This window comes from Homo sapiens, chromosome 2 (assembly GCF_000001405.40).
Source record: "Homo sapiens chromosome 2, GRCh38.p14 Primary Assembly".
NCBI classification, from domain to species: domain Eukaryota; kingdom Metazoa; phylum Chordata; class Mammalia; order Primates; family Hominidae; genus Homo; species Homo sapiens.
In genome coordinates, this window is record NC_000002.12 from 108,905,545 (window position 1) to 108,926,312 (window position 20,768).

General features: G+C 53.1%; 2 protein-coding genes across 3 annotated transcripts in view, besides 1 other annotated feature; one reads left to right on the forward strand and one right to left on the reverse strand.

Moving 5' to 3' along the window:
- RANBP2 (RAN binding protein 2) overlaps nucleotides 1–20,768 on the forward strand; it is a 1,122,820-nt gene that overhangs the window by 186,063 nt on the left and 915,989 nt on the right. The gene's annotated exons all lie outside the window — the stretch shown is intronic.
- The window catches only part of EDAR (ectodysplasin A receptor), a 94,750-nt gene that overhangs the window by 11,074 nt on the left and 62,908 nt on the right, over nucleotides 1–20,768 (reverse strand). Inside the window, exons 5-11 of one of the 2 annotated variants that reach the window (NM_022336.4) lie at nucleotides 17,824–17,909; nucleotides 7,134–7,220; nucleotides 5,403–5,528; nucleotides 5,232–5,306; nucleotides 4,916–4,988; nucleotides 2,316–2,475; nucleotides 764–824 (exon numbers count right to left, since the gene is read on the reverse strand). In NM_022336.4, coding sequence (NP_071731.1) covers nucleotides 764–824; nucleotides 2,316–2,475; nucleotides 4,916–4,988; nucleotides 5,232–5,306; nucleotides 5,403–5,528; nucleotides 7,134–7,220; nucleotides 17,824–17,909 — 668 coding nt within the window. Of the gene's footprint in view, nucleotides 1–763; nucleotides 825–2,315; nucleotides 2,476–4,915; nucleotides 4,989–5,231; nucleotides 5,529–7,133; nucleotides 7,221–17,823; nucleotides 17,910–20,768 lie in introns of both variants that reach the window. The other variant, XM_006712204.2, reaches the window with a different exon arrangement.
- Nucleotides 4,299–4,800: an enhancer, noted in NCBI's record as "H3K4me1 hESC enhancer chr2:109526299-109526800 (GRCh37/hg19 assembly coordinates)". NCBI's record gives its function as "activates a minimal SCP1, AML or CMV promoter by ChIP-STARR-seq in naive H9 embryonic stem cells {active_cell/tissue: H9 hESC(naive)}" and the evidence as "EXISTENCE:reporter gene assay evidence [ECO:0000049][PMID:30033119]".

The following is a 20,768-nucleotide window of genomic DNA, read 5'->3' on the forward strand; positions in this document are numbered from 1 at the left end:
AGGGGTAATGGGGGCATTGGTGAGCTGCCCAGCATGCACCAGGCTCCACTCCCGCTGCCCGGCCAGATCAAGGAGTCCACGGAGGGAGGCCAGCGAGTCCAGCAGCAGGAAAACCCCTGACCTCAGCCATGAGGGATTTATCTTTGGGGTTAATAAGAAGGTAATTTAGAAAGTGGATTTTGCAGGAACTGGAAGCTGAGGATTATGATTTCAGATTGCAGCACTGACGGTCCTATCCTGTTGCCTCTTAACCTGCCCACACTCAAGCCCAGGTTATGGGGAGACAGCCTGACTTAGCTCAGAAGGCCGCTGGGAGGGGAGGCTGGAGGCTCCCAGGGCTATCAGACATCGGGGATGCTCGAGGGCAGGGAGAGGGCAGCTAAGTCTAGGATAAATGACTGATCACGTTTCCCAGATGATGATGCCAGTGTGGACACGGTCTCTGGGGACACGGGAGGTCTGAGGCTCCGTGGCTGCTGCTCACCGACCCTGCGTTTCCCTACAGTGGGTGCCTGCACCAGGCTGTCTCCCGCCCCATGAGGGGAAGGCCCATGGAAGCACTGGGAGATGCCTTCCGATATCTGGGAACAAGATTCTGTTTCCCCACACCTGAAATAGTTTCCAGCGGCCATTCTGACCAAAGTGCGGCAACTGGATGGGCGGCTTCCCTCAGTTCCCCTCACAGGAGCCTCAGGGCTCCGGGCCCAGCCCTTCATGTCGGTGGGGTGGGCACCACCTCTCCCAGGCTTTTTTTTCAGCTTACCTTCCACGACTCCACACACGTTGGCATACACATCGAGGATCTTTTTCCTCCGGCTTTGAATCTGTGAAAAAGAGTCGAGAATTTTCATCTCCAGAAAGGGGCAACAGTAGAAAGGAGGCAAATCCTCCATGTCAGCAGGGGCAGGCAGCAGCTACGCCCAACACCAGAGACGCTGCACACAGCCCCCGTGTCAGCAGCCCAGCCCTGACACACAGGGAGGAGGGCCTTCTTCAGGTTTTCCTATTCAAACATTTTTGGGGTCTACCACGGGTGCGTCTTAGGCTCAGCTGGGTGGTCAGACTCGTAAGATACTTGGGGACACCCCTGGCATCAGTCTGTTTGAAAAGATGACCATGGGGACCCCCACTTGCCCTCAGGACATCTGTGCTGCAGCAGAGCCGTGCGGGGCTCCCATCCCGGATCACGTGGCTGGTGCCAGGAGACCAGGCCCACGGTGCACAGCTGCTCAGTGGCCCTGGCTGAAGAGTCCCGGGGCCATGGCCACCTATCTCCCTTGTAACAACCCCACAGGCTTCCAGGGTCTCTGCAAGTGGCAGCCCCATTACAGAGGTCACTGAACTCGGGGCAGGCAGAGCTTGGCATCCTATCAGGACCAGGCTGGAGCCAGGATCCCAACTGGGCATTTTTGCCATCAGTGATGTTGCCTAGCAACACAGCTGTCCTGCGGCTGGGGCCTGCAGCCAGGGGCACAGGCTAGAGGGACGACCACAGGCCAGGTCTACAGGGAGCCCAAGAGGGCTCTGGCCACCTTTGCCCTCACCCCTGCCCTGCTCCTGGCCACAGCACATTACAGGGCGGTAGGTGATAAAACCCTGGGGACAGTTTCTACATGTGAACCTGTTTTTATATTTTTAAAAATGCATAGAAGAAAAACGTTGTGTGTGTGTGTGTCTAGAAAATTGTCTGGTTAGATAAAACCCCGTATATTTACAAGGGTCTTTTTCTGCCCTCTGGCATTCCAAGTGATTTTACCTTTTTTCTCCTTGCTTATTATTTTTCGTTTTTGTGTATGAAGCTATATAATAAAAACAAAGTGGCTGGGCGTGGTAGCTCACACCTGTAATCCTAGTGCTTTGGAAGGCCGAGGCGGGTGGATTGCCTGAACTCAGGAGTTTGAGAGCAGCCTGGGCAACACAGTGAAACCTCGTCTCTACTAAAATATAAAAAAAATTAGCTGGGTGTGGCAGCGTGCACCTGTAGTCCTAGCTACTTGGGAGGCTGAGACAGGAGAATTGCTTGAACCCAGGAGGCGGAGGTTGTAGTGAGCCGAGATCGCACCACTGCACTCCAGGCTGGGTGACAGAGCAAGACTCTCATCTCCAAAAAAAAAAAACAAAACTCAAAAACGAAAGGGTTTTTTTCCCTTTTGACTATCTTGCTGTGAACTTGTCACTGTCCAGGTCTCCTATCTTGGACTTCTGGGAGAAACACCCCGTCTTGCAGGAGAGCTGATTCAATAAGAAAGTTTTAGTCTTGCGGCTGTGAGGGAGCCACATCTCACAGCTCATCATGGCACCTGCAGGAGCCTCACCCCGGCTGACTTGTTGCTGGTGGCAGACTTCTCCCTGGCCAGGTGAACCAGCGACAGCAGGCACAGCTCCGGGGAGCCCTGCTTGTCAGGGGCGGGCTCCTCATCACTGTCGACGCTCCGGCTCAGCAGCTGCTCATTCTCGGATGAGGCATCGTTCTCGCTGCAAAAACAAGAGCGATGGTCATTAGCAGTGCCTGGGGGGGCTGCAGCCCTGACAAGTTCTCCTGTGGTGAACTTGTCCATTGCCCAGCTGTGGACAGTGGGGGGCAATGACTTGTTTTTCAGGTGTTTACTGGGCACCTTGTGGGCACGGGACCAGGGGACATGAGACGAGACATACACCGGTGGCTTCCTGCTTCTTTCCAAACAAACAAGTCCGTGGTGGGTGACCTGCAGGCGTCTAAGGGGCTGGGGCTGCCACTGCGTGTGGGAGGCATCCACGGGCCTCTCCTTCCCTGCTACCTGACACACAATGGATGCTCCGTGAAGGTTCATTGAATATGTCCTAGATCTCTGTATTTAATCCCAGTAAGCACCAAGTTCAACTGGTGTCTTCATGTTAAGCAAACAGATTGATGCAGCTGGCGCTGAATCCATGCTGGCTCTCTGGAGTCATTGAAAAGGGAGCTGAATGGAGCCTTGTGCCTGGAAAGCCCCCTCTTGACTAGGGGGGTGACCTGGCTGACCTGTGTGCATTGCAGGGGGTGGCACAGCAAGCCCCAGCGGGTGAGCTGGGTGGGCGGTCGGACCCACCAAGCCCAGGTTCATGCCGCCCTGTGGCTCACAGCCCACAAAGAACCCAGGGTCTGCCCTAGGCACATGTGGGTTGGAGCTTAAACTCTCTTAAAACCATTCCAAGTATATGAAAAACAATATTCTTTTTTAGAGGCATCCTGCTTGCTTCCTGTGGTTTGGCTGAAGACCTTTTTTTCTTAAAAAAAGGATTATATTTGTTAGTAACTAGGTTACAGCAGTGAAGCCCATATGCAAACACAACCCTAGAGACAGGGTAATACAAAGACAATGAGAACCATCATGAAGCCCCAGTGGGACCCACTTCCTCATCAGGCTTCAGGGCCTCACAAGGAGGTGGTAGGACCCATCCCTGTCCCCACTCGAGAGAAGGTGAGGTGGAGCAGGTGAGGTGGCACCCCAGGTCCTGTCTCTGAGACCTAAGGACAAACAGCAGGGACAAAAGCTCAGTGCCTTGCTGTCTTTTAACGTACAAGTGTCAGGGTTCAATTTGTATTTAATATTCGTGTATGAAAGCAGTATATATTTTTTCCTAATAGGGCCTCCAAATTTTCCCTGTCTTCAACTGCAACTCAAGTCATGGGGCACGTCTCTGCCTTTTTGATTTCTGGGAATAAGAAAAGCCTGAATATCAGAAGGGAGAGGCTGAGACAGAATGAGATAAGGCTGGGCTGGAGGCTGAGGAGCAAATTCAGTCTCTAGGGAGGCCCTATTTAAGAGTTCCATGCAGGGTGACCAGGTCCTGCCCTTGGTCCTGGGAGCAGCAGCTTGGATCTGGCACACAGGATCTCCACACAGATGCTGGATCGATTGGAATGGCTTTGCAAGGTGAATCATAGGAAGATCATGGGGTGGGGGCAGGAGAGGAGGGCTTAACCTCTGCTCTTCCTGTAACCAGTTTGGTGACCTTCTGGTGGCCTCTGTGCCCCATCTGCCAAGGGAGGCACTGTTGCGGGGGTGTCCTTCCAGGCGCAGCCTGCAGTGGCTGTCGGGCAGAGGCCTGGCAGGGGGGTCCGAGCACATTGCCTGGCTGGGAGCTGATGCTGTGGGGTTGATTTTTGGAAGCTACGCAGGACCAAGTCCAAATGACCATCCCACTGGATGAATAAAATATTGACTTCCCTCTACCCTCGATTTTAGAGCAGGGGCTGGTTCCACACCTTCATGTGTGGTAAACGCGGGAAAGGCTTCACCTGCCAAATCTCCTCCTCCAGAGGCCTCTTTACACCATGTGGCTCCTTGGGAGCCTGGACTCGGACCCCAGCCCTGCTGTTCACTAGTGTGTGACCTTGGGCGAGTGACAACTTCCATACCTCAGTGTGGTATCCTATAAACAGGGATGATACAAGCACCTTGCTCCTGGGCTGTGGAGGGAGGATGTGTTCACAGCCCTAGCCCAGCACTTGGTGGGCAGTAGGCACCAAATGCTGTTAGCCGTCATCACCACGGTTGTTACCAGCATTACGGTGGCAGCAGTACTGGCACCGGCACGGGTGGTACTGGTGTGTTGGCCGCAACAGGCATGCATCCTTGGCTTTATGTTCTGCCCTCCCAGTCTGGAGAAGGGGCATGAGGAATTCGGATGTTAAGGAGGAAGGCCCAGGGAATTTGGCAGGATGCAGGGACAGGGGCCTGACCCGAGAGCAGCAGGCAGCTGTTTCCACAGGCTCCTCACACCACCTGACCCCTGCCAGTCAGCAAAGAGGTGGTGGGGACTGTCTGTCGCCGAACGTCCCCATAGTGTCCCAGGCTAGCCTGTCAGTTCACTCGGCTGCACCCTGGTTCCCCTCCCTGCTCAGGATCCACAGGACCCCAGCTTCAGCTTGGTGCTGGGGGCTTCCACATACCTCTTGGTGGGCTTTGCTGGAGTTGCTGTCAGCTTCTCAAATTCATCCTTCTCGGAGAACATCACCACGTTGTCTGCAGGGAAATGGGGAGGTTGGGGAGATAGGAGTTAGAATTGGCTCATGGCTCTGCGCTCAGCCCAACCCTGCTCTTCCTGTTGGGCAGAGCTGCCCGGTGTCTGTGTGGCACCACCCCACGGTAAGCACAGTATGGTTCAGCATGTGAGAGCAGAAGCAGCGAGGAGGCTGCTTCTGGGAACGCCCTCCACCCAGAGATGGGCACCGTGCACATGGTGTGTGGAAGCCCTGGTTCACAGACCTGGGGCCTCTTTCTTCTCCTCGTCCTTGCTCACTTGGGCCTCCACGCTCTTCCCCGGGTGGCTGGTGCAACAGGCTGGGGAGAGAGGAGGGAGTGAGCAGCCAGGCTCTCCGACAGGGGGAGTTGACGGAGAGTCCAGGAAGCAGGGCACCGGCGCATGGGGGCCGTCACCTGGGGCAGAGGGCTTTGTCTTCAGGATGTAGAACATGATGATGAGGACGATGGCGATGGCCATGATGAAGATGGTGGACATTGCAATGATCAGGGCAGTGGCCAGGTGTCCTTGGCCTGAGAGTTCTGTGGGTGGAGAGAAGGCATGAATGACCCAGAGCTCAGGATCCCTGCTGGTCTTCCCTCCAGGACTCCGGCCCCTGGAAGCAATGGCCCTGCCCCTGGGATGCTTTCAGGGAACCCTGAAATCTGAGGTGCTTGCTTAGACTGAGAACCAAATCCTCCGCGCTGGTTTTGGCTGCCAGACCAGGACTGCCCACAGCCCTGCTCGCTGCCCTCAGACTGGCCTCTCCAGACTTCTCTGGGGTCACCTGATTGTTCCTAGGGAGTTTGCTCTTGCTTCTACTGCTTTGGCAACCTGAGGGCAGGGTTTGGTGTGGAGAGGAAGAAAGGCCAGTGAACAAGAGTGGCTGGAAGGCAGCACAATTCAAGTTTGGGCATTTCCAAACAAAAGTCAGGATGCGAAAGTCAGCTCTGGATTCCAGGTTTGGCTCCATCTTGCACCTCATGCAATTTCAACCTAAGTGTCATTGTAAGAGCCCCAGGGCACAGGGGGTGCCTCGGCTGGGCCACCTATTCCACCTGCACTGCCGCCTCCACCAGGCAGTCCCTCAGTCACCCCGGGGGATTTTGCTCAGTTCCCAGGTTAATGTCGACCCTGGATGCATAAAATGCCCTGAAGCTCATTCTCATTCTCTAAAATAACCAAACAGGACTCTGATTGTCTTGAACTAAGATCCAGATTTGCCACCACCCAAATAGACAGGAGACCAGCATCTGAAGCTCCCAAATCATCTCGGGGGAGGTAGTGCCAGAGCTGAGAACCCCGCATGTGGGCGCTGAGCCTCCCCTGTGGGTGCATCTGCAGGAAAACCAGCCTCCCAGCATCATCTGGGGAATACCTGTAATAGCGTTAGCATGCCAGGTCTGGATGACATAAGTGTTTTAATATTCTCCGTGTTTTGAGCTACTCCCCCCGGGGCCTGTGCAAATGAGATTCATATATCCTCGCCCAGCAGTCCTGCCTTTTGCTCTGCGTTAGCGCGTGGGAGGCCCAGAGATGAAGCTGACGAGCTGGGTGCTCTGAGGGCTCTGGAGGGTACCTCACGGCTCGCTGAGACCTGGGCCCGAAACATGCTTCAATAATGGGCTGGCACTAAACCAGTGAGAGAGAAAGGCCAAGCCAGCTGGAGGGCTGACTCTGAGAGACATATTAAACTTTGGGGTCCTCCTCAATCCCTTCTTCCCTGGTTAGGGAGAATGAAATGTACATTCTGCAAGTTAATATTAAAGTGCTATGGTCAGCATGTTTATATGAAAACCAGTGATAGAATTGCTGTTAACTCCCGGCCAAACCAAAGCCCAGGACGCCTGGTCTCTCCTCCTGGCCGGGCTTGCAGCTGCCTGTGCTGTCCACCTGCCGCTATGCCCCCGCCTTCACCACCAGCACCTCCCAGCGGTCCCAGGACACCCATAGAGGGATCAACTCTGATTGCAGATATAATGACTTCCTGCACGGGGGGCAACATGTCATTCAATTACATTAGGGAGGTGAGGCCAGGTGGGGAAGCGCACCATAATCATCACTCATGATCATTTCCTCTCCTCTTCTGAGCTTTCATCCGAGTACCACCTAACTCCAGGTGATCGATACCTGAGCACCCTCCTCACCTTTGTGGGCGTGCTGGAAGGGAGACAGGGTGCTGCTGCCCGAGGTGCCAGGGAAGTTGGCAGAAGCTCCTGAAGTGGCTCCCACACCTGCAAGGAAAATAGAGTCCCTCAAATGATCCAGAGAAGCTCCACCTTCAAAGACGCTGCCACAGAGCTCATGGATCTGGATTCATGATCATGAATGGGCCTGAGGCAGTGATGGCTGAGGGGAGCTAAATATTTGTATTTCTTAGACTGTTTAATGAACCCTAAAGAGTCATCGTTATTGTTCTTTTTTTTTTTTTTTGGTGAGACGGAGTCTTGCTCTGTTGCCCAGGCTACAGTGCAGTGGCGTGATCTCGGCTCACTGCAAGCTCTGCCTCCCTGGTTGACGCCATTCTCCTGTCTCAGCCTCCCAAGTAACTGGGACTACAGGCACCCACCACCACACCTGGCTAATTTTTTTGTATTTTTAGTAGAGACGGGGTTTCACCATGTTAGCCAGGATGGGCTCGATCTCCTGACCTTGTGATCTGCCCGCCTCGGCCTCCCAAAGTGCTGGGATTACAGGCATGAGCCACCGCGCCCGGCTGGTTATTGTTCTTTAAATGAAAACACTCATGTGATAAGTCTGCTAAAACTAAACAGTGTGGGTTGGGGAGTTTTGCAAGCCTCACCAACTCAATTTTCCTATGCGTGGAGACAAAGTATATGAAATCCATAAAAATAAGCAACATAGAGTGTGTACATGAAAGTACTATTAGGGTGATACAATACTTGACTAATTCCTTCAATTACATAGAGTAGGAATGTGTTAATACTTTTTCCAGTCATAAAAGTAATATATGCTCACTATTAAAAATCTGGAAAAGGGGGCCAGGCATGGTGGCTCACGCCTGTAATCCCAGCACTTTGGGATTGTTGTTCAGCATCAGTTTGAAATAATAGCTTCTTGATTTATACATATAAATATTGTTGTGGGAAGGAGGCTGGTGATAAAAGTGTATGCGATAGCTATCTTTACGTAGTATGGGTATGAGTTCTTCTTGTTAGAAGGACAAGAGGTGGCGGATCACGAGGTCAGGAGATCAAGATCATCCTGGCTAACACAGGGAAACCCCGTCTCTACTAAAAATACAAAAAATTAGCCGGGCGTGGTGGCAGGCGCCTGTAGTCCCAGCTACTCGGGAGGCTGAGGCAGGAGAATGGCGTGAACCCAGGAGGCGGAGCTTGCAGTGAGCTGAGATTGCGCCACTGCACTCCAGCCTGGGTGACACAGTGCGATTCCGTCTCAAAAAAAAAAAAAAAAAATCTAGAAAAGGGGCCGGGCGCGGTAGCTCATGCCTATAATCCCAGCACTTTGGGAGGCCAAGGTGGGTGGATCACTTGAGGTCAGGAGTTCAAGACTAGCCTGGCCAACCTGGTGAAACCGCATCTCTACTGAATACAAAAAATTAGCCAGGCATGATGGCGCATGCCTGTAATCCCAGCTACTTAGGAGGCTGAGGTAGGAGAATCGCTTGAACCCGGGAGGTGGAGGTTGCAGTGAGCCGAGATCACACCACTGCACTCTAGCCTGGGCAACAAACGTGAAACTTTGTCTCAAAAAAAAATAAAATAAAAATAAAATAAAAATAAAAATCTGGAAAAATAAGAACACAAGAAAGGAGGAAAAGAACTACCCATGGCCTCCTTGGCTAAGTGGACTTTTGCTGTATTTCTGCCTAGGATTTTTCCTCAGACATGTTTTTACATGGTTGTGACCAAAGAGTTTCAGAGCAAGGTGTGCTTTGCCTTCCCTTAAAGCTATGCTTCCCACAACTCCCCTTCTATGGAAAAAGTGTGACTTAGCGGGGATAAAATGGAAGCTGATTTTGCTCTCAGTCAAATCACTAAGACGCAACCATTCAGCCAAAACAAAAACATTCCACCACAGAAGAGACCACGTCCTGTTCCAGACCTCCTAAAAGAAGATCAACCTTCTTTTGGGCCAGACTTCAGTTTTGCAAATAATAAAGCCAACATGCTTCAAATGCATCTCCCACTCTCTCACTTTTGTCTCTACCAGTTCTGGAGAAATCCGTGAAGTGCACTTGGTCTACAGAAAAGCAGCCCCTGAGTCAAGGACAAGGCCAGCTGCCATCCCCAAATCAAGGTACCTCCCCAGCCTGGCCCAGCCCAGTGGAATGGCCCAGCACTGTGCCTGGTCAGCCCATGCAGCAAGGCTTCCGGGAGAAGCAAGCTTCCTAGTTGGACTGTTTTTCTGTTTTGTTTGAGACAAGGTCTCACTCTGTCACCCAGGCTGGAGTGCAGTGGCACGATCTTGGCTCACTGCAACCTCTGCCTCCTGGGCTCAAGTGATCCTCCCACCTCAGCCTCCTGAGATGCTGGGAGTACAGGTGTGTGCCACCACACCTACTTTTTGTATTTTTTATAGAGAAAAATGCACGTTGGCCAGGCTGGTCTTGAACTCCTGACCTCAAGTGATCCACCTGCCTTGGCCTCCCAAAGTGCTGGGATTACAGGTGTGAGCCTGTAATCCATGCCTGGGCTGGCTGTTTTCTTTAGTAGGAAGTTCTCAGGAGAAACGCACACTCTTGTTCTGTGAGTGGGGGCAGCCCAGGAGCTAGTGACCAGCTGAGCTATCCACTCGTGTCTGCTCTAAATGGAGCAGGGCCACAGGAGAATGGGCTGGATGCTTCTCTGTCCTCACACCTTGTAAAGCAAATTGGAAGCTTGGCCAATGAAACATTGGGCTTGGGAGGGACCAGGGCAGCTATGTCATAGGGTATGTAAGAAACATCACCTGTCCACTGAGGGGCAAATGATGTTTCCTTGTGTTTCTGGATGATGAATGGAGGCTTTTTTCCTCGTGGGCCTCAAACTTATGATAAATCTTTGCTTTCTTAATTTAGCCTCTTACTTGGCCTCAGAACCAGTGTTCTTATTAGGGAAAGAGCTGCCCAGGCACGGTGGCTCATGCCTATAATCCCAGCACTTTGGGAGGCCGAGGCGGGAGGATCACCTAAGAGGAGTTTGAGACCACCCTGGCCAACATGGTGAAACCCCAACTCTACTAAAAGTACAAAAATTAGCTGGGCCTGGTGGCAGGTGCCTGTAATCCCAGCTACTGGGGAGGCTGAGGCAAGAGAATCGCTGGAACCCGGGAGGCGGAGGTTGCAGTGAGTCGAGACCACGCCATTGCACTCCATGCTGGGCAACAAGAGCGAAACTCCATCTCAAAAAAAAAATAAAAAATAAATAAAAATAAAAAAAGAGCTGGTGGAGAAGTGCGTGCCCCTAGCTGAAAGCCACAAGCCCATGTCAAACAACAGAGCGTTCCCCCTCACAGACCTTACTGAAGTTGCTCTGGAAGTCTCCAGTGTGATAAGGAGGCTTCAGATTGTGTGCCCATTTCTGTTTGCTGGGGGGTAGCCTCCCACACTTCATCAGGTGAGTGAGCATAGGGGCATCATGGCATAGTTTCCAGCATGACCTAATTTCCTTTATAAGAGCAAACAAGAGATTGAAAAGAAGCTGATCTATCTGTTCAGTAAGGCGCTCAAGGGAGCTTAAGATACACTGTCAGAGCAAAAGAACAGCCGTGGGCTGTCTGTGAATGTTTGTCATCTTCGCCTCTTCTTGTCCCTTCCTGTCGGGGCTCGCAGGCTGCTTCAGGTGACAGGGTTGGGGATGGGGACACAAATATGCCCAGGCCTGTGGTCTAGAGTGGGGCAATAAACGCAGCCTAGAGAGCACACAGACTTGTGGGATGCCTCTGCAGCCCTGCAGGGCTGGTTACACAATGACGTCCCCAAACAATGCCTGCAGATGTGACATCTTCCTGCACCCACAGGCGCCCACCTGCCCTCGGCCAGCTGTGCCTCTATCCTGATCACCGGATGGTTCCCTCCAAACACCTCCAGCTGGCACCAACTAAACGGTCCCCAACTGTGCCAGGCTGCAGGTGTAGGCTGGGTGCTCCCTGGTGTGCAGGGATCCCTGAGTTGGTGAGAGAAATGCTTGCTCTGAGCACGTGTGCGCAGCCGAGGAGGTGGGGGCAAGATGGGTGGGATGGTGGACCCTGACATTTCTCCAGAGCTCAGCCTCTCGTGTCAGGACTGAAGCTGAAAGCCAGCACCCAATCAGCCAGACCCCACAAGCCCCCTCACGTTCCAAAGTTCCCAGGGCCACTAGAGCATCTGCAGGGAGACACTTCTCACAAGACTGGTCAGGAGAATCACAGTCACTAGATCATTGCCCAAGGAGCAGGAGGACATGGGGATTCAGACTTGCCCACAGGCCACCCAGGCCACCAAAGGGCAGCAGCTCACTTCCTGACAATGGGCCTCTTCCCTGCGCTCGGAGCTCGGCAATAAGGAATGGAGCTGCCTTTTCAGCAGAAGGGAGAGGAGCAAAGACCCTCAAACCACAGATAAAGGCAAGGGTGTGCCAGAATTTTCAGAGTCACAGCTCCGTGGCCGACAGGCGAGGGAAGGTGCTTGTGGCAAAAAAGGAAATGGATCTGCCCCAAGCACAGCTGTTTCATAAAAGCAACGCGCGGCTCGTGTGGAAGCCAAAGGAGTGGATCTCATAGAAGTGGAGCAGAACAGAGGTGGGGAAGGAGGGGCTGGTTAACAAATACAAAAGTCCAGCCGGGCAGGAGGAGTTGTTCTGAGCTCTGGCACGCTGCAGGGTGACTACAGCGGACAATAATGCATTGTATATTTCTCACAGCTACAAGAGAGGATTTGCAGTGTTCCCAACACAAAGAAGTGATAAACGTTTGAGGTCATGGATATCATAATTACCCTGATCAGATCATGACACTTTGTATACATGTATGGAAATTTCACTCTGTACCCCATAAACATGTGCAATTATTATGTATCAATTGAAAGAAGAACAAGCATCTAGCTTACTTGGTCTTTTTTGTCCACAATTCAGTGCCTCTGCCCCCGGGCAAGACAGAAGGTATGCTAAGACTAGAGGGGGGTCAAACGGGAGGCGGTGGGCCTTGCCATCCCTGGCTGCAGGGCTGACCTCATGAGGGTGAGGTCAGCCCCCCACACAAGTGTCTCACCTCTGCTTGCTGCCACTGTCACTACACATATAACCCACAAGAACAGGTGAGCAGATCCGGTCCCAAAGTGCCAACCTTGGGCAGCAATGGGTGTGGTTTGAGGGCAGCTAATGAAGGCACCTGCAGAGCCTGAAGCAGAGGTTGGATAATCAGCCCTGGGTGGGTCTGCTGTTTTCCAGGCGAGTCAGAAAAATTGCCATGGAAAACAAGCACCTACTCTGCATTACCCCTAAATGCTTGAAAAAAATCCATCCCAGAATCATACAAGTATGCATTTTTATATTATTAGCGCACCAGCATCATGTTGAATGCACGTGATGTCTAAAAGAGGTTTGGGCAAAACCCAGAATATTAAAAGGAAAAGAGAGCGGTCTGGGCTGATCCTCTTCCCACCATGTCCACTCCTTCCACTGTCACCAGCTGGGGGTCCACAGACAAACCAGGGTGGGGCGCGAGCCCTGGTGGAGATGCAGCCCTGTGCAGCCCCCAGGATAGGCACCGGCACCCCCTGCACCTGCACCCAAGTTCTCCTGGGCCAGGGTCTATGCCTGTCTACTGAGGATTAACTCTGCACTAACCAAATATACAGTGTCTGGAGGTTTCACCCCGGTCCACTGTGTGCTGTGTGTTTCGGTTCATCTGCCTCTTGGGATGCTTGTTAAGTGCAAGGTGCTCCAGGTGGGTTTCTGTTGGGTGGCCAACTGCGGGTCCATCTCCCCTTGTACACTTCCGTGTGCACCTGAGTTTCGAATAAGCAAGGCTGGGGTGTTTGATAAAAGCTGGTATGAACTGCAGTTCCACAAAACAGGCAAAAATGTCCTCACAAGGCCTATTTTAAAGTGAAAATGAGCGGGGACTGGTTCTGCCTACCTCGCGTGGAGTTCGAGGCAGTGGTGACTCCGGGGAGGGTCCTGCCGGGCACTGTGTTCCCCTTCCCCAGGAATGCTCAGTGAGCCAGAAGCACATGGCTGGAGGGAGCTACGCCTCCATTTACAGCCACAATAGCTCATATGGGGGTCTTTGAGGTCTGTTAATCCACACAATTTAGAATCTCACCAGTATGCATTAGAGGCTGGCTGGGATTCTCTGCAGAGGGTAAAAGATTGCATTTTTAGGAATGATCTGTTTGTTGATTCTTAGAGCTGTCAACAAGGGGTCCCAGACTGTGGCACTGGCTGTGTACCCCCAGTGGCAGATTCTGAACTGTGGGCAGACTCGCAGAGACTCTCTAGCTGCTCAAAGTGGGGTCCCCTGGGAACCTGCTAGAAATGCTGAGTCTCGGGCCCACTGGGACCCGCTGTGTCAGAATCCATTGCTCAGCGGGTCCCTGGAGATGTGTGTGCAGTCAGGTCTGAGAGGCTCTGAGCCAGGAGCAACTGAGCGCCGGTGTCTGGGAGGCTGGGAGGCCCGCTTCACACCTGAGGGGCAGTGCTTGCTGTTTAGTGTCACGGAAGAGCATCCGGGCACAAGAGACGGAAACCACGGGAGTACGCAGAGTAGCAGAGATTTCTCCAAAAGGCCAGCCTGCTCTGGATTTGCCTGAGGGGACTTCGTCACTGATGATAAGAAAACAGCTGCCAGGCTATTGCGTTCTTTCATTAACCCTCTGACCGCTTTTTATTTATTTATTTATTTAGAGGCGGAGTTTCGCTCTTGTTGCCCAGGCTGGAGTGCAATGGCGCAATCTCAGTTCACCGCAACCTCCATCTCCCAGGTTCCAGTGATTCTCCTGCCTCAGCCTCCCGAGTAGCTGGGATTACAGGCAGGCACCACCACGCCCAGCTAATTTTGTATTTTTAGTAGAGACGGGTTTTCTCCATGTTGGCCAGGCTGATCTTGAACTCCCAACCTTAGATGATCTGCCTGCTTAGGCCTCCCAGAGTGCTGAGATTTCAGGTGTGAGCCACTGCGCCTGGCCCTGACTGCTTTTCTAGGGAAGGATTTCTGCTGCCCAGTGTCCCAGGCTCTGGGGTGCCTTCTCGGGTTTGAACTGTAGCCGGGCCAGAGCCGGCAGTGTAGGTCAGCGAGGCTCCGTGGGGCACCTGCCCTCTCCCCGCACTACGAAGCTGCCTCATGGGGAGCCCTTCTGCCCAGTGGCTCCCGGCACCCTGAGTGCGTAGCTGACTTCCCAGCCCTGGATCTCTCCGCCTGGAGCTTCAGGCCATCTCTGGGTTAGCTATCTTGGTCTGGATGTCCCACAGTCCCCTCAAATTCCACACACACAGCCTTCATCCTCCCTCTACCTCCCCACCAAGCACCCTCTTGCCTCTGCCTTCTGCAGCTGAGCAAGTGGCACCATGTCCACATGGCCAGTCACAGAGACACCTGAGTCCTCATCTGAATCTCTTTCCCCTTCTGTGTGCTGTCCACACCGCCAGTCAGTGAGGGAAGTGCAGGCCAGCTCACGTGCCGTGGAGCCATGCCGCCTGCTGGGCTGGGATGCTTCATCTCTGGTCAGTGCCTGGCGCCTGGCACTGGAGTAAGCACTCCACATGCATCGCCCACGTCATCACATCTTTCCTCCCAACAATCATGTCCCCATTTTGCAGATGAGGACACTTTCCCAGGGGTGATAACTTGTAATGAAATCCAAGCCTGATGCTGGACCCTATCTTCCTCTCTGTTACGGCAGGGCAACGGGTTGACCTCCCTGCCCCCACTGTCATTAAATCACAGATCCCTTTATGCAGGATGGTGCAGGGAAAACAGAAAACCAGAAAGCTCTGGTCACCCCAAGTACATCTTGCTCTTTAAGTTAACTGAAAAATAACCGAAGGCCTTTTCATCTCTTTTCACCGGGCTACAGGGCTCCACAGTATTGCAGTCACTGAGTACAGGCTCAGAGCTGGGGGCGAGTATGTTCCAATCCAAGGTGACAACCAACCCACAGCCAGGACTGATCTGCAATCTGACGCCTGTCCTCTTTGGTTTCCCTCTCATTACTTGGCAACCCCAGAAACTGGAATGATTTTATTCCATTTTAAAGGAAAATATATGTTGCTTTTTCATTTCTCCTCAGGGTTATTTGAGGGGCTGCACCACATTAATTAACGCCCTGGGGCACTCATGATGTGCTTCTGGGAGGATTTGGTGGGCAAAATTGCGCCTGAGCCACACAGGAGCCTGGGCAGTGGGCACCACTGGGAGCTGCCCGGGGCAGGAGAGGACATGAGGCTCTGGGAGGTGAGATAACTCGTCTAACTCAGGCAGTGAAGTTCCAGAGCAGGCTCATAACCTACCGTAGTGGTTCCCAAACTTGTTAAAAATGTACATTCTCTGGCTCACCCAGACCTGATGAATCGGGGGTGGGCCAAGCAATTCGAGTCATAAGAAACCCCCAGGGTGCTCCCCTGCGAATCACCCCCCTGAAACCCTCTGCTTCACAGAGGTGCAGAGAAGCTGCCGTCTCTTTAAGGATAGGAGGTAATTGCATTGCACAGGTGCCTAGGCATAGGGTTAGAGCCTGGGAGGTGTGGGGCAGAGCTGTGGGCACTCCTAGGCTGGGGAGACCCTGACACTGACCTGGGCTCACTCCTGGCTGGTGTCTCCCCTGCAGCTGCGACCCATTGTCTGCTGTAGCTCTCCTAGGTGGGTGTCATCCTCAGCCAGGGGCCCTTGGCAAGTCTGACGGTGGTTTGCGTAATCCACCATTTGTTGCTGCAGAGTACCAAGGATGTGCACTTTGTTTGGCGAGGGCCCAGGTAAATCAAGAAAACAGAGGGGAGGAAGAGGTGCTCTTGACCACAACTGTGGGTTTGACAAAGACAGGGCCTGCTGGACCTGGGCAGCCAGTTGGCAACTTCGGGCTCCTGATGAAATGTTTGCTGCCCAGAGTGGGGCTGCTGATGGCAGTCCTGTGTGTGTGGGTCTTAGTGACTCCATGGGGCTTTCTAGCTCCGACGTTTTTGCTGACTGCTGGGCAGGTGCTCTGAGTAAAGAGATCTCTGGATTGAGACCAGGGCAGGCCCAGGGGTGGAGGGCATCACTCTGTTTGGCATTCACACCGAGGCCCTAACCCAGAGGGCTCCATCCACCCCAAGGCCTATCTGGCCGCATCTCCCCATTTCCCAGATGGGCAAGCCGAGGTCTGGGGCCTTGCCCAAGGGGCCTCTAATGGGAACACAGCAGGACTGTCTATTTCTCTGCTGACCTCCTTCAGGGCCGGATTCTAAGGCCCTACCCCGAGGCTTTCCTCGGAGCCGGCTTTCAGTAAAGCAGGCAAGGGCTGGGGGTGGGAGTGGGGTGCGCTCATCTTTAAAATCTTGAGGACTCAGGGGACTTTGCTTGCTTTCCACATGTGATAGACCTCATTGCTGGACTTAGAGAGGCGCCCCTGCCGTGACTCAAGTCTGCTCTGGCTGCCAGACATTGAACATTGAAGGCTGTGCCATGTGAGAACTCTTGAACAGAAAAGCCCCTGAGGAGGACTGCTCCTCTCCCAGGTTCCACAGGCAAAGATGCTTTTGTGAATAGGTGGGGAGTGTCTGACATCTTTCCAGACTGGTTCTTCAACCCAGAATGATCTGGCCTTGAATCAGCCTAGATCCCCACAGAGGACATGCGGGCCATGGCAGCTGGCTTCACCATGAGTCAGGCTGGCAGCCGAGCTGCGGCCTCCTCTAATTTGTGAATTAATTAGCATATGGCTGGCCAGGAAAATGGCTTTGAAGACGAGCAAACACATTGGTGCAGGGCTCATGCATTGCTCCTCCTGCAGCACAGCCCACAGCACAGAACCCTCCTCCTGGCTTGACCAAAAGGAGAGAGGAGATGCTGCGCCCCATTCCTGCTCCTCCCCTTCTTTCCAGCGTGATAAGACGCAGGCTCTCCTTCTTCTCCTGGACAACATTATTATGAGACATGGGGGTAGTGGCGCCTTATGGAGAGCAAAGAGAGGCAGGGTCCCAGGGTCAGCTCCTCCTCCACCCTTGAAGGAGCCAGAGGGTGGCAAGTGCTCCTGCAGCCCGGCACCAGACACCCAGCTTCCTCCCAGCTGCTTGTCCTACCTGCCTCCGTCTCTCCCCAGACCACACATCTAAGAGTCTACACAGCACATTCCTCTGAGGCAGAGGTACCTGGCCCTTCGTCATAAACAGATGCCCATGAAAGCCAGAAAGGATAACAGGAAAGAAACACCCCAAGGCAGGATTATAAACTCCTGAGACTGTTTACATGTGCTTTGTGGAATCTGTTTCATTAATTGTGATCACATTTATATTTTCCTTGGCCTCACTGTCACCTAGCACTTTGTAGTACTTTGCAAAATAGTAGTACTTTGCCTCTGTGATCTCCTTTGTTTTCACAATGACCGTGAGAGATGGGAAGGTCAGATGTTAGTACCCCCATATTACCGATGAGAAAACCGAGGCTCATGGAGGTTAAGTGACTTGTCAGGTAGCTGGTGGCCAACCTGCACTAGAACCTCAGCCTCTGACTCAAGGCTCAGATGTGGCAAACATCCCTCCCTTCATAGACCTGCCTGGACAGGCCACAGGAGCACTTTCACTAGTGCTGTTACTGTGATTCACCTTGTCCAGGTGCCAGGACCGGCTCTTTCCTACACCCTCTGTAGTGAAAGGGATCCGTGCTGAACAAATACCGTGCTGGTGGAAGGACAAAGACACTCACATTCCTTGGTGTTGGGGGGTGCCAGGAGGCAGGAGTAGCAGACCATGCCATAGATGTTCCTCGGTCTGTTCTCCAGCATGTAGTAGCTACGGGGGAGAGACAAGACAAAACAGAGACAGGTGAGCTGGACAGCACACAGGCAGGGACTGGTGCAGAGAGCACGGTGGCCAGTCTGCAGGCCCACAATCAAGTCGGGCATGAGGCCACGCCCACTCAGTCACCTGCTCTGTCCACTCAGTTTCCTTGGGGTTTCAGCCTGTCTTGAAATGGAGCATTCTTTTAACAATATTGAGCTGCCAACGTGGGCCTTTCTTTTGATCTCAGCCCCTTTCTGGTTCCTCTCTCTGGTGGCTGTGTTTAGTGTGTGTGCCATCACATCATCCACCAGAAATATCCCTGTGCCCCCACATGTAGGGCCTGCTTAGCCCCCCAGGGGTCACACCAACCAAGGCCAGACCTTCCTGGAGGAGGAACATGCCCTCTGTGAGCACCCTCCCCAGAGCCTGCAGCCTAGTGGGATTATAGGCATCAGTGTGCCTCTGGGACCCTTGGAACTCCCAAGCCATCTTTACTGCTGCTGAATGCCACCAGAGTGCAGCTGCAGGAGACAGACGGTTGTGCTGTCCAGAGAGGTCAATGCAGGTGGCCCTCATGATAGCTGGCAACACAACCAGGTTGTAAGTGCCTCCTTCTCAGAAAGCACTTGACAGAAGACACCCTTGGAAGTGCAAGCCTTTACGCTGGGGCTGCACACACAGTGCAAGGGACAAATCATTCACAGTAGCTCTGTTTGAAGTCCTTCAGCTCCCAGTGATGTTCCATTATGTCTTTCAGCTCCCCGATGTCACAGTGCCAGCCCCGTGGCTATATGACTGCTCAGGTCCTGCTCTCAGGGGTCTGCCCTGTGGCTGTGCTCCCTGCAGCCGTCCCGCTCCCAGGCACAGCCCCTGCTGGCACCACCCTCTCCTTGGGGCTCCCAGCTCGGGCGCCTTCCCTCTGCAGGCTCTAGCTCCTATCCTAGCCTGGGCCCATTTTCCATAAACAAATGCTCAGCGGAGAGCATGGAGCCATTTGTCACACTGTGAGTAGTCGATTAAATAACGTGAGCGGTGCCAACACTTTCCCTATTGCGATTCAAGAACTGGGATGAGAAGGAATATTTCCATGGCTGCTTTCTAATCTCTTTTTTATTAGCCAGGCCCCATGGAGGCCCCTGCTGACGGTAGTGCTAAGCAGCAGCCTGGCACGGGGGTCTGTGGGCTCCTGCCTTCCTGAGCCTGGACTGTTACCAGTAATGTTAGGACCATAATTGCCTGCCCTCCCTCAAAGCCCTTTATCCTCAGATCCCTGTGTATCTTGTAAACATTAATTAACCAATCTCAAAACACCTCCCAGAGAAGCCACGACAGCCAGTTTTACAGCTAAGCCTCTCGCAAATCTACCTTCTGCCCTCCAGAAGCCACTTCTTTCTATGAGGCAGGCCAAGGCAGGTGTCTGCCACGTGGCCTTGTGAGTTCACGGGCATGTGGGCCAGACCAGGTCAACCTGCAGCTTTCTAACGTCCCTGGCCCACGCTGACACTTCTGAGAAACATCTCAGGCTCCTAGGTGGCCACCTGCTCCCCATCTCACCTCCTCTGTGCCTCACTTCCTCGCCCTTGCCTCCTCCACCTTTTCTCACTCTACCTCCACGCATTCTCTCTCCCACCTAGGGGGATTGGTCCCGCTCCTGGGCTGGGAGGCCCTCCAGGGCAAGCCTTGTTCACGTCTATTGGTCCCGCTCCTGGGCTGGGAGGCCCTCCAGGGCAAGCCTTGTTCACGTCTCTATTCCTTGGACCTTGTGCTAGGTACTAAGGAAGGATGATTGTCTGTAAACATTGGCTGAATGAATGAATGACACCAAGTTCTTCTCCGTGGAACTTTGATGCTGAGGTGGACAGAGGCCCCAAAAGGCCTCTCTGCCCATCCTAGTTCACACCCCAGGTGCCGGGCTTGGTCTCTGTCATGGGTAAAGCTCCAAGGCTACACGGCGGATGCACAACACCCGGCTTTATGATGGGTGCCCAATGGGGCCACTACATTTTGAGCATGGGGAGGGTGGTGGCTCTGTCCCACGACTGTGTCTTTGACTTGTCCTGGGCACGAGGCACCTTCTGTCACAGGCTGGCCACCCTCATCTGTGGGGGTCATGTGTATGGGTCAAGCTATGCAACCTATCAAGTCACTCAGTTAAGGAATATTGAAAGGTGATACACTTTTTTTTTTCCCCCTGAAACAGTCTCCTTCTGTTGCCCATGCTGGAGTACAGAGAAGCAATCTTGGCTCACCGCAACTTCCGCCTCCCAGGTGCAAACAATTCTCCTGCCTCAGCCTCCCAAGTAGCTGGGATTACAGGCATGCACCACGACGCCTGGCTAATTTTTATATTTTAATAGAGATGGGGTTTCACCTGTTGGCCAGGCTGGTCTCAAACTTCTGACCTCAAGTGATCCACCTGCCTTGGCATCCCAAAGTATTGGGATTACAGGCGTGAACCACCGAGCCTGACCGGTGATAAACTTTTAAAAAAACATTGGCTCCAAGAGGCTGTTATGAAACTGTCCTTCCTCACCCAGTGAGTGTTCAGTGCCTCCTGACAAGGAGAAGCCACCGTTTTCTAGCACGTATTGCTGCATGCAACATTTCTAAATGTTAGGTTCTCTCTGTAGGACTAGGCTAAACTCCTCACCGCCTGGCTTACACCTGGGTCTCTCATCCTGGGCTGCACAGCAACAAAGAACATGTGGCTGTCTTTTTCTGCCTGGGCTTGTCACCAACCCGAAATCAGGTGTTCATTTAGGGATCTCTGGCCCAGCTACAGAGTGTCCGGTCCCTTCGTCTTTCTGGAAAGGTCTAATTTGCTACTTTTTGATCCATATTTGACTTTCTCCCTAGCCCCCCAACCCC